Raw genomic sequence first — 12,829 nt, forward strand, 5'->3', positions numbered from 1 at the left:
ACTAATACCACTAAAGACAACATTTGAATTGAGATGATACAATTATACCTACACTTTCAGGTGTGTTTTAAATATTACAGCTAACATTGTATTTTAGTGATTCTGAGATGATCATTGTCTCCATGTTGTCTCCACTGAAATACCACTTACAATTCATGATTTACTATAATTGGCGGCATTTAAATAATTCTCTTATTGAGGCATAAAATAATGGGGCATCACACAATCCCTGGTGTCTTACATGAAGTAGAATATGTTATAACAGGTCCGGGGCGGTTCCAGTCAGATGACCAGCATTTAGATAAATTTTGGTTCTTAAAAGAACTATGGAATAAGAAAGCTGAGGTGAAAACAAAAACAAATTTCTAAAATAAACCAATTCTTACTTTGGTTTTCAATAAACTTTAAGCCAAAGAAAACCTGGAATTCAAATGAATAGCATGGGCTCATTTTTGTCAATACTTAGATTTATACAATGTATGTACATCAGATATTTCCAATCATTCATATTAGGATTTAAGACTGTTATAAATTTTCTCCTTTTAAAACGGATTTATGAAACGATTTGTGGAGCTTTTTTCAACTGTTACATTCAGGGGTACACGTGCCAGATGTGCAGGTTTGTTACACAGGTAAACACGTGCACCAAGGGGGTTGGTTGTACAGATTATTTCATTACTCAGGTGTTAAGCCCAGTACCCATTCATTCTATTTCCTGCTTCCTTCCCTCCTCCCACCCTTCACCCTGTAATAGGCCCCAGTGTGTGTTGCTTCCCTCTAGGTATCTGTGTGTTCTCACCATTTAGCTCCCACCTATAAGTAAGAACATGCAATATTTGGTTTTCTCTTCCTTTGTTAGTTTGCTAAGGATAATGGCTTTCAACACCATCCATGTCCCTGCAAAGGACATGCTCTCGTTCCTTCTTTTATGGCTGCATAGTATTCCATGCTGTTTATGTACCACATTTTAGTTCTTAAAACAACTAAAACAGTCTTTCTCCAAGACTTATAAATTTTCAAAAGGGCAGTTAAGGGTTGTCTTTTACTATTTTCTACCTTCAGAAATGCTTCTGTTTGAAAGGAGGGAGGAAAAGCTTCAATTGAGATTAAGTCCTAATGCACCAATTTTAAATCTCTCATCTTGCTCAAGCCCAGCAGATAAACATGAAGTTTTCAAAGGTGGAAGGATCCTGAGAGATAGTAGAATATGCCTGCCACATAATAGGTGTCTGGCTTATGTCTGATGACTAAATGGATTGAAAGAATGGATGAACACAGCTTGGGAGTTCAATATTTTCAAAGAAAACTCCTGTCGAGTAATGCAATACATTTGCAATAGTAATAATCACTTACATTTGCTATTTTAATTTTCATAAACATATAACTCAACTAAAATGATTAATTCATACTTTTTACATGTTAATCTATATCTAATGAAAAGATAATTATGTAATAAAATGTATATACAATAAAATCTACAGGAACAGGTAAACACAATCCCTCTACTTCTGAAGAGGGTAAAAGTTCACGGAAGATAGCCAACCACAGATAGAAAAATAAATAATAGAATGTGACAAATTATTTGCATCTATGCAAGAAGCATATTCCTTCTCTTCCCAAGGATTATTGCATTACTAATGAACTTTAACTAAAACTTCAGATGTTCATTGCAGAAATCACAGATAAGAGAAAGGGAAAAACTTCACTTACAAATCCCCAGAAACAAGTTTGATTATATTTTCTACATGTTTTCAGCTAACACGAGCAGATTCTGTTCGTGTATATGTGTAACCGATTTTTTTTCTCACTTGTTATAGCAAAGTACATCTTTGCATGTCGACATATCTCTGTATCTACTGACAACCTCAATAGTTACATATTAGTCCATCCTATGGATGCACTGAAATTTGTCCATGAAATCTTTATATGGGTTCTTCTAAATACACTGCTATTTTAATCAATACTAAGAAAAACAGACCTCTATTTGGTAAAGATATTTCAGTATAATGGAATTGATGAGTAAAAAGCATAACATTTTAAAAATGTGGTTCTTACCACTAAAGTGTTTGTTTGAAAAGCTGTAGCAATTTAAACTTTAAATGACTACGTAAGTACCACTGTTCTTCATCCTCACAAACTTTGTGGATAAAAAACAGTATTTCATTCCTTTTTTTTTTCTTTTTTTTTTTTGAGATGGAGTCTCACTCTATCACCCAGGCTGGAATGTAGTGGCGCGATCTCGGCTCACTGCAACCTCCACCTCCCTGGTTCAAGCAATTCTCTTGCTTCAGCCTTCTAAGTAGCTGGGATTACAGGTGCGTGCCACCATGCCCAGCTAATTTTTTGTATTTTTAGTAGAGATGGGATTTCACCACACTGGCCAGGCTGGTCTCAAACTCCTGACTTCATGATCCACCTGCCTCAGCCTCCTAAAGTGCTGGGGTAACAGGCGTAAGCCACTGTACCCGGCCTTTCATTCCTCTTCTAACTTAAATAGAAAACAGTATTTCATTCCTCTTCTAACTTACATTCCTTCTTCTACCAGGAACGCTATCTTTTCCTATGTGCATAGGTCACTGGTAGATATGCAAAAAAAGTACTTTGCCCAATTTTAAAATGAGCTTATTTTATTATGTCTGCAAATATGGCCAGGCACAGTGGCTCACGCCTGTAACCCCAGCACTTGGGGAGGCCAAGGTGGGTGGATCACGAGGGCAGGAGTTCAAGACCTGCCTGGCCAAGATGGTGAAACCCCATCTCTACTAAAAATACAAAGCAATTAGCCAGGCGTGGTGGCAGGCGCCTGTAATCCCAGCTACTCAGTAGGCTGAAGCAGAGAATTGCTTGAACCTAGGAGGCAGAGGTTGCAGTGAGCCGAGATCGCACTACTGCACTCCAGCCGGGGCAGCAGAGTCAGACTCCATCCAAAAAAAAGTATATATATAAATATATATCTGCATATATAAATAGGCATTTGTATGTTTCTCTTCTGGTATGTTTCTCTTTTTGTATATTTAAATTTTTTAATCTATACTCTTATTTTTGTGACATAAAAATCTAGCTAGTTTTCTCCAAACATGAATTATGAACAATCCATCTTTTTCAAATAATAAAAAACACCACCATTATCAAGCGCTAAATTCTTAACATATATTTGGGTATTTCTAAATTTCCTATTCTGTTGTATTCATTGATGTCTTTTCAGCTGTTAGTAAACAATTTGTGGAAATAAATAACATGCACATTTTGATATCTGGAAAAGCAGCCTTTTTCCATTCTGTTACAAAAAATTAATTTATCACAATAATAAAAGACAGCATGTGTAATTTAAAAACGCTAAAACTTTGCTATTTTTATTTGGCTTAGGTAAAAGTGATAAATAGAAAAAGCTCCCATCTTTTTTTTTTTTTTTTGAAACGGAGTCTCGCTCTGTTGCCCAGGCTGGAGTGCAGTGGCACTATCTCGGCTCACTGCAAGCTCCACCTCCCGGGTTCACGCCATTCTCCTGCCTCAGCCTCCTGAGTAGCCGGGACTACAGGCGTCTACCACCGCACCCGGCTAATTTTTTTTATATTTTTTAGTAGAGACAGGGTTTCACCGTGTTAGCCAGGATGGTCTCAATCTCCTGACCTCATGATCCGCCCGCCTCCCAAAGTGCTGGGATTACAGGCGTGAGCCACCGCGCCCAGCCAAAAAGCTCACATCTTAAGAAAATTCAATCTTCCTGTTCAAGCACAGGAACCATCTTCCCATTTCAGTTTCCTTCTAAGGTTCCTCAGTAAAGAACATATTTACATACTGTACATTGATATAAAATCCATACTGGATTTTATTTGAAGAATATTTAGCCCTGAAGTTGATGTGTTATGGGGCTTCGTTCTTAGTTCTCAATATACACTTTTCTATAATGTATAGAACATTGTTTTAAAATCTGTAGATTAAAAATAATCTGCTGCATTGACTTAATTAATTTTGCAAGTTAAATCACTTTAAAACAGTCTATTAGTGTTCTATGAGGGAAATTATGATTGGAAATCAGCTAAAGTTTTGTTTTTGTGTTGCTGTTCATAAAGGGCCCTGTACCCTGACCTCTCTGAGGTTTCCACATCCAGGGTGGTGTGAGGCCTGCGGAGGCGAGAAAGCCAGGTCCCCCTCCTCCCCCGCCAGGAGGGTATGTCCCCATCATCCCCCCACGTCCCACCTCCTCCCAGCCCAGGCCTGGTTACCTCTTTTGCTTGTCCTGCTTGTTCACGTCAGTGTCCCTGAGCATGACGATGAGATCCTTTCTGGGGACTTTACCCCACCAGGCAGCTCTGTGGAGCTTGTCCAGATCTTCTCCACGGACGTGGTACCTGGGCTCCATGAAGGCACTGTCATCGTAGTCTCCCCAAGCGCCCACCTTGCTCTTGCTGCTCCCCCTGCAGCAGGGGAAGCAGTGGCAGCACCACTTGCCCATCTTGTTCCTGAGTGTCTTCATAGCAGAGTCGTCGTGGTCTCCAGAAGCGCCCACGTTGCTCTTGCCACTCCCCCTGCAGCAGGGGAAGCAGTGGCGGCACCACTTGCCCATCTTGCTCCTGAGTGTCTTCATAGCAGAGTCGTCGTGGTCTCCAGAAGTGCCCACGTTGCTCTTGCCGCTCTCCCTGCAGCAGGGGAAGCAACGGCAGCACCACTTGCCCATCTTGCTCCTGAGACCAAATGGCTTCTTCACAGAAGAGGCAGCCGGCATGGAATCAACCTCAACCACCATCTGCTTTTAACAGCCAGGAGAAGCCAGTAGTAGCCAACAGATCGCGTCTACCAACCAGTTTCACCAACTAGCAGGTAACTCCGGGTTTCCAATCTGTTTGAAGAGAAAAGTCAATCCCAGCCAAAACCTGCCAACCCCAGCAGGGGATTCCAGCCCAGCCCACCCCACCCAGGGAAAACCCACACCCACCCGAGGAAAGCCCACGCCCCCCCTGGGCGACCCCACGCCCACCCCAGAAAGGGCCAACCCCCGCCCCCAAGAAAACACCCAGCCCACCCAAGGGAATGCCAAACCCAGCAGAGAAAAGGTCAAGCCCAGCAAAGGAACACGAGAGAGAAAACGTCAATCCAAGCAGGAAACGTCAATCCAAGCTACCAACGCCAAGCCAAGCCAAGAACGCAAAGCCAAGCCAAGCCGCTACAGGCCAGCCAAGCCGTTAAAGCGCGTGCAGCATGCGCGTGCAAGCCATTACAGGCCAGCCAAGCCGTTACGCGCGTGCGGCGTGCGCGTGCAAGCCGTTACAGGCCGGCCAAACCGTTATGCGCGTGCGGCGTGCGCGTGCAAGCCGTTACAAGCCAGCCAAGCTGCTGCCGGGCGTGTGCGCGCGGCGTGCGCGTGCGCGTGCGGCGTGCTTATCTCAGGTGGCGTCAGGGCACGTGGCACAGACACTGGCCGATGCATGCAACGCGCCTGCTTAAGTCTTGGCGCCACGAATGTCACTGACAGCCTTGAGTTCCGGCAAACTTCGTGGGAGTCAGCTGAGCTTTCAAGCCACTGAGAAGCCTCTGGTGAAAAAAAAAAAGCCTCTTAAAGGAGGACTGGGGCTAAGCGTCTGGAACTTGAGGATGCTGACAGCCTCCTTTGAAAAAAGCCCCCAGGACACTCCTGGCGGTGCTGTTGTGCATGGCAGCAGCTGCAGCTGGGAGCTCGGGCTGACGGAGCTGGCTGCAAATGGCCTCAAAATCGCGGAGCACAAGACGCCCACCGAGCCCAGGGCCTGCCTGAGGTGCCTTCAACACCTGCTCCTCTTTGCTCCGCACCCAGAACACGAGGCCATCAGCAAGGGGGCATTTGGGGCCACAGGATTGCAGCCAGCTCCTGCCCCGGTGCAGTGTATACAGTGTATACTGCACAGGTGTTGGGTGCACCAAAATCTCCTGAATCACCTCTAAAGAACTTACTCATATAATCAAACACCACCTTTTCCCCAAAACCCTAGGAAATAAAATGAAGAACTTTTTGTTTATGCATACCACATATTTTTTAACTTTTTTCACAGGTTCATTGAGATACAATTTATATATTATTTAATTCACTCATTTAAAGTATAAAATTCAGTTTTTTAAGTGTATTAACTAGTTAAACAATCACCATGATTTTAGAACATTTTTATGCTCCTTAAAAGAAACTTTGCACCCATTAGCAATCTTTCCCTATTTTCCCCATTCTTCCTTTAAACCTCTCCCAGCCCTAGGCAATCATCCATCTATTACCTAAGAATTTGCCTATTCTGGAAGGATTTGCCTATTCTGGACATTTCATGTAAGTGGAATCATAATAATATAGTTACGTGTGACTTACTACTTTCATTTATCATGTTTTCAATGTTCATCCTTTTTGGAGCATGTATTAATATGTTTTTCTTTTTCATTGCCAAGTAATATTTTATTTTATGGACAGACCACATTTTATTAATCCACTCCAAAATTCATGGACATTTCTGTTGTTTCCTACTTTTTGTTGCTATAAATACTTTTATGTGTAAGGCATTTGTTTTAATTTATTTTTGGTGTATACATAGGAGTGAATTTACTGAGTCATGTGGTAATTCTGTATTTAACCTTTGAAGAACGGCTTCATTTTTCTGCATGTGGCTTGCCAATTATACCAGCAGCATATGTTGAATAGGGTGTCCTTTCCCATTTTCTTGTTTGCTTTGTCAAAGATTAGGTAGTCTGATGCCTCCAGGTTTGTTCTTTTTGCTAAAGATTGCTTTCGTTTTTCAGCATCTTTTGTGGTTCCATTCAGATTTTAGGACTAATTTTTCTATTTCTGTGAAGAATGACATTGGAATTTGACAGCGGTTGCATTTAATCTGTAGAATGCTTTGAGTAGCATTGAAATTTTGACAATATTAATTTTTTCAATTGATATAGGACTTTTTCTATTTGTCACTTTCAATTTCTTTCATCAATGTGCTATAATTTTCAGTATACAAATCGTTCACATCCTTCATTAAAATTACTCCTTGCTCTTTGATTTACTTATATATTTGTTTTGTTGCTATTATAAATGGAATTACCTTATTTTTCAGATAACAGTTTGTCATTGGTGTATAGAAGCCAATGTTAATTTTGTAACTCTCAACTTTATTGAATATAGTGTTTATCAGCTGTAATGGGTTTTTTGTGGAGTCTAAAACACAGACAATCTCACCCCTTCCCTTCCTATTTAGATGCCTTTCCTTTCTTTGCCTTGTATAATTACTCTGGCAAGTCAGTTACATATAACGTTCTCAGCATTTGTAATTTGACATCAAATCCATCTGTTGTAATACACTGATTGTTACTTTTCAACTCGAAAACATGGACATTTATCACTACTCTCCCTTTCTCTTGGTCTAGTTGTTATTTAAAAAAAAACCTATCAATGCAAACCAGGATATTTTTCTACAAAACAATTTCAAACACACTAAAAGGTTTTAATCTAACAATTTTTAAACTTTCTTTGTCAATGACTTTGAACTGTGGTCTCTCGGAACAAATCCAACACCTTTAGTAGAAAAATTATGTTAATTCCTACATTATCATTGGGTCTAGCCAAGAGTTGACCAAAGGTGATATTAACAGATATGCTTATTTATTACCTTGTTCTCAAAGTTCTAGCATAAGTCTTGAAAAATCTAGTAAAAATTTGTAAAGACTATAATTGCACAAACTCCCTCTCTCATGAGTCACACAGTTAATCCAGAATACTATTTCTAAGTTATTGGAAAGCCAACAAGTAAATATGATGTAGTGTATAAAAATAATCCTAATTTCATTGTATATTCTGTAAGTGACATATGCAATTGATACTATTTACTAAATATCTCATAATTATATTTATTTACATAGAAAAAAGGAATAAAAAACATATCTATTATCTAACATTTAAATGATTAAAAATACTTGAGATAGCATTGCTACATAAATGCTATGTAAATGCTGAAGAAAGTAAAAATGTCATTCCCTACATTTGCTAAATATATTGTGACACATTATAAGCATTTTTAAAATATATCACTAATGGTTGGGTCAAGTCAGCAAAAATGATTCTAAGTATTTAATTGTGGAAAAATTTAGTACAGGGGATAGTATTCATGTGATGGAAGGATTTTAAATGGAACCCAGAGATTAGCAGCAGCAGTAAGTTTTAATTGCATACCAGGTGCAGAGTCTAGGATACAAGACAGAACTGCAGATAAAATCTGACTCCTTCCAGCATAGCTAGGAGACATGGCTAACTCCACCTGTCCGGAGACCTTACCTAGAAATCTAACGGCTCCAAACCAGGTAAACAAAACTATTTTCCAAAGTCAAAGCATCAATTTATGACATTAAAGCACTTCTAAAACTTAACCTCTGACTTAAGTTAGACCAAATGGATAAATTTTGAAGATATTTTTATTTTACCACTGACTTTAACACCATCTTTATTTCCCAAAGATTACTGAAGTCACATGAAATAAAAGGCATTAGAGCTTCTATTTTTCTTACAAAATATTTAAGAGCTTTCATTTTCTTTTAAGCCGAGCCATTATATATACATCACATACACAACACTTCTAGACAAGAAAAGATCTAGCAGTTGTTCAGTTTTTCTTTCCCACTTTATGAATCATAACACAACTTCCACAGACTATCTACAACATGATTAAATTTATCTGACCTGTCCTGTATTTCCCTCTTTTGTAATTAGTCATTCTACTTTAGGACAACAATTTGCCATATAAGATCCTCTCTCATATAACATTTCTTTCCTTCATAACATTTCTTACAATAAATACATCTTCATATCCACAATTTTCTTTAGATCTCTCTCCCCTACTAATTTCTGATGCCCATCCAAACCAAAAAGGTCAGACAACGCAAGGCAAAACAGAGCAGAGCCTTAGATTTTTGAGAGGGACCTGTCTGCTTAAAGTTCTTGGGGTTCCATGAGGAAAACAGAGGTTTCTCCTAAAATGGGGTTTGTGGAACCTTCTGTTTTTCCTTAAGGAGTCCCAGGTTGTCAGAAATTACCTTAGATCCTCTCATGTGGGCATCAAGAGTGGCAACAAGAGAGACTGGGGTAATAATTCAGACAACTGAGCAGAAAAAGAAAAACTTACTACTGTCCCCACTGTAATGATGGATAAACTGAGGCACCATGCAGTTCAAAAATTCATGTTCACATAATTAGGATCCACAGCTCACTCTCTTAAATAATTTTGCCACCTCTATGCCCAGTCACTGATGCACCTGTATGGTAGCTCATGGCCCCCTTGGAACTTAGAACCTGGGTTTCATTCCTGCTCTACGGCTATATAATTCAACAATTTTCCTTTGAATTTGTTGGACTCTAACCCTGTATATCTCAAATTTTATTAGTATTACTGAATCTTAAAGGGAGCTGTGACGTCTTTAGTCTTTAGAAATATTAAACCTATAAACAAGGACTATATGAGGTTAAACAGTATTCAAATTTCTATATGCTTTAAAACATGGACACAATGTATTGAGAAACACACCTACAAAACTGCACCCCATCAACTCTGGACAAAAATTTAGATATTATCTCTTCAATATAACCTATCTAGTGGTATTTATACATATTCTTCCATGTATCAACGGTATATTACATGCTCATAACCTTAAAAATAACAAGTGTTCAAATTATAGGCCTTACACATTTCTACGGGCTTGAAAAATGATACAATATAGATTGTCTTTAAAGCAGTCAAGAAAATGCATAAACTTCTAGAGGAATCAGTAAAATAAAGATAAAAAGTTCACACCTAAAGTAGTAATACTAGGAATAAAAGAGGGCTCGACACTGCAGGTTCTTAGATACAAAAGTTAATAAAGCCTTGTTTTTGGTTGTGAATCTTTGCCTTAAAATACACACAGCTGACCGAGGTGGGTGGATCACCTGAGGTCAGGTGTTCTAGGCCAGCCTGGCCAACAGGGTGAAACCCCATCTCTACTAAAAATACAAAAAGTAGCCGGGCGTGGTGGCAGGCACCTATAATCCCAGCTACTCAGGGGGCCAAGGCAGGAGAACTGCTTTCACCCAGGAGGCAGGGGTTGCAGTGAGCCAAGATCGGGCCATCGTACTACAGCCTGGGGGACAAGAGCGAGACTTCATCTCAAAAAAAAAAAAAATTACACACAATTCTCCCGACTTCCTTTTTCTCTTGCAAAGAGGTGGTGATGAACCAGGTTTGCTCAGGCAGATGACAATACTCTTGAAAATGGTGGCAGAGAGCCAGGCGTGGTGGCTCACACCTCCAATCCCAGCACTTTGGGAAGCTGAGACAGGTGGATCACTTGAAGTCGGGAGTTCAAGACCAGCCTGACCAACATAGAGAAAACCCATCTCTATTAAAAACACAAAGTTAGCTGGGCATGGTGGCACATGCCTGCAATCCCAGTTACTCAGGAGGCTGAGGCAGGAGACTTGCTTGAACCCAGGAAGCGGAGGTTGCAGTGAGCCGAGATCGCCCCATTGCACTCCAGCCTGGGCAACAAGAGCAAAACTCCATCTCAAAAAAAAAAAAAAAAAAAAAGAAAGAAAACAAAGGAAATGGTGGCAGAGAAAATGAAGGCAATACAGTTCACTTAATAATCTCATAAATTAGAACTTACCCCGTGACTCCTGCATAGCTCCAAATATGTGAGAGAGATGAAATGGCTGTTTGCCACCAATATTTTTATGTGATGCTTCATTTTTTGATTCTCTGAATAACTACTTACAACGCATTAGCCCATTTATGCCAGAGGCTGCAATTTTTTGAATTTTTGCACGAGTGAAAAATCAAACCTTCTAATGACCTTGAGCAGTAGGATGTAATTAACTCCCTCATGCTTACCATTCCAATAATGGAACACTAGGCATAAGTGGTTTAACACAATCGTGAAAGCATAGCTATTCAAGTAACTAATTATACAACTGATTTTTTTCCTCATCCCTAAAACATAGTAAAGGACCAGTTATTTTAAAAATACAACACAGTGACAATTTTGGCTTGTTGTTTGTTAAGGCCATTGCTTGGCATAAAGAAAACAAAAAGAGGAGGAGAAACAAGAATAGAAACATGAAATAGAAGCAGCAGCAAAAGAAAATGAAGAGGAACAAGAAGATGAGAAGAATACACAGACTAGAATAAGCAAAAAGAACAGGTGCAGGAATTAGAAGGCCTATTATGACACCTTTTATCCCCTCCCCAATTCACAAAATTTGAAAAAGTCCAAGACCATCACAACAAAAAAGAAGGAAAAAATGGCCGGGAGTGGTGGCTCACGCCTATAATCCTAGCACTTTGGGAGGCCAAGGTGGGTGGATCATGAGGTCAGGTGATCTAGACCATCCTGGCTAACACTGTGAAACCCCATCTCTACTAAAAATACAAAAATAAAATTGGCTGGGCGTGGTGGCAGGCGCCTGTAGTCCCAGCTACTAGGGAGGCTGAGGCAGGAGGATGGTGTGAACCCAGGAAGCAGAGCTTGCAGTGAGCCGAGATCACACCACGGCACTCCAGCCTGGGCAAAAGAGCGAGACTCTGTCTCAAAAAAAAAAAAAAAAAAAAAAAAAAAGCCACACACACACACACACAGTCACCCCCTAAATTTTGTTAAGAATGAGACAATGCTGCCACTCATGCCTGGCTCAGAAGGAGGCCACCCTCCAGAGATTGCAAGAGAAGGGGGAGGACTCCTTTCCCTAAGTGCACCTCCACCACTGCCACCGAGGCCCATGGTACAGCACCAGCAGGTTCGTCCCCACCCCAGGTCGGACTGGGCCCTGCAGTGCTCCTACTCCCCCTTCCCAGTCCCCAGACTTTCTGCCACTACCACCACTAGCACCAATGCCAATACAATTGCTGTCGCCATCAATGCAGCAGCCCACCCTACAAGGTTCCTACCACCTTGCCCCCGCGGGCACCCTCCTACCACTCCTGTCGAGCTGCAGTCTCCGTGGCTGCCATCAGTCACACGAGGCGAGCTGCAGAGTCACGCCACATGCAGGCTCCAGCGTACCACAGGTGATTCCTTCTCCTCCTCCTCCAGCCTGGCTTGGAGCAGCTAGACGGGCAAAGCCAGAAAAGCCTAGAATGGGATGCAGGGAGTGGTAACGTTAGAGCCTCACCTTGTCATGCTGGCCACTGGGTGGCAGGGACCAGCTTCAGCTAAGGCACTCAGACCCACCCACCGAAGTCCAGCCTCTCTTTCTGGCAAAAGGTGGCCAGGAACTGGGGCGGGTGTGAGTGCCTATGCTGAAACCACCCCCATCCAGGTGCAACTGGCCAGAAATTGCTGGGCCCACCAGGGCTGCACTCCTTGGGGAGCAGGAGTAGGAGAAACTCAGACCCAGCCAGCCCTCCCCACTCAACTGCTGGTTCCCATTCCTGACACCTCCACCCACAGTGCCCTGTTCCCACAGTCCCCCGCGATGCCCACTAATCCCCACCCGGTAGTCCCAGGTGGTCTCCCCAACACAGAGCATGGGGTGTGGGCGGGAGGTGCAGGCCGGAGAACCGCAGTGGGTGTGGGGGCCCTGCCCTGCTCAAGATTGCACCAGGAGGAACTCTGGAGTCTGGAAAAGAGAAGAGTCACCCGAAGGAGCAAGGAGACCATGGCTGTTGCTGTCCCCACCACCTCTGCAGCCGACCAACACCACTGGCAGTATAGCCCCCATAGCAACCCTAACCTGACCCCTGCCGCCGGCAGTGTAGCCCCCGGACAGCACACCCACCACACCCTGTGCCAGTTGCAGGCAGTGTAACCCCAATACCCCCCCCAACCACCCCCTCCACAGGCAGTGTAGCACCCGATAGTGCCC

The 12,829-nt window shown here is 42.0% G+C and overlaps 1 protein-coding gene across 3 annotated transcripts in view; it reads right to left on the reverse strand.

Annotated features, from left to right (window-relative positions):
• The window catches only part of POTEF (POTE ankyrin domain family member F), a 55,688-nt gene that overhangs the window by 42,234 nt on the left and 625 nt on the right, over nt 1–12,829 (reverse strand). The window contains exons 2-3 of one of the 3 annotated variants that reach the window (NM_001099771.2): nt 11,941–12,096; nt 4,227–4,840 (exon numbers count right to left, since the gene is read on the reverse strand). In NM_001099771.2, the coding sequence (NP_001093241.1) occupies nt 4,227–4,747 (521 nt within the window). In that variant the 5' untranslated portion in view covers nt 4,748–4,840; nt 11,941–12,096. Of the gene's footprint in view, nt 1–4,226; nt 5,531–11,940; nt 12,097–12,829 lie in introns of those variants that run through there. The other 2 variants (XM_047445721.1, XM_017004833.2) reach the window with 2 other exon arrangements.

Source organism: Homo sapiens, chromosome 2 (assembly GCF_000001405.40).
Source record: "Homo sapiens chromosome 2, GRCh38.p14 Primary Assembly".
NCBI classification, from domain to species: Eukaryota; Metazoa; Chordata; class Mammalia; order Primates; family Hominidae; genus Homo; species Homo sapiens.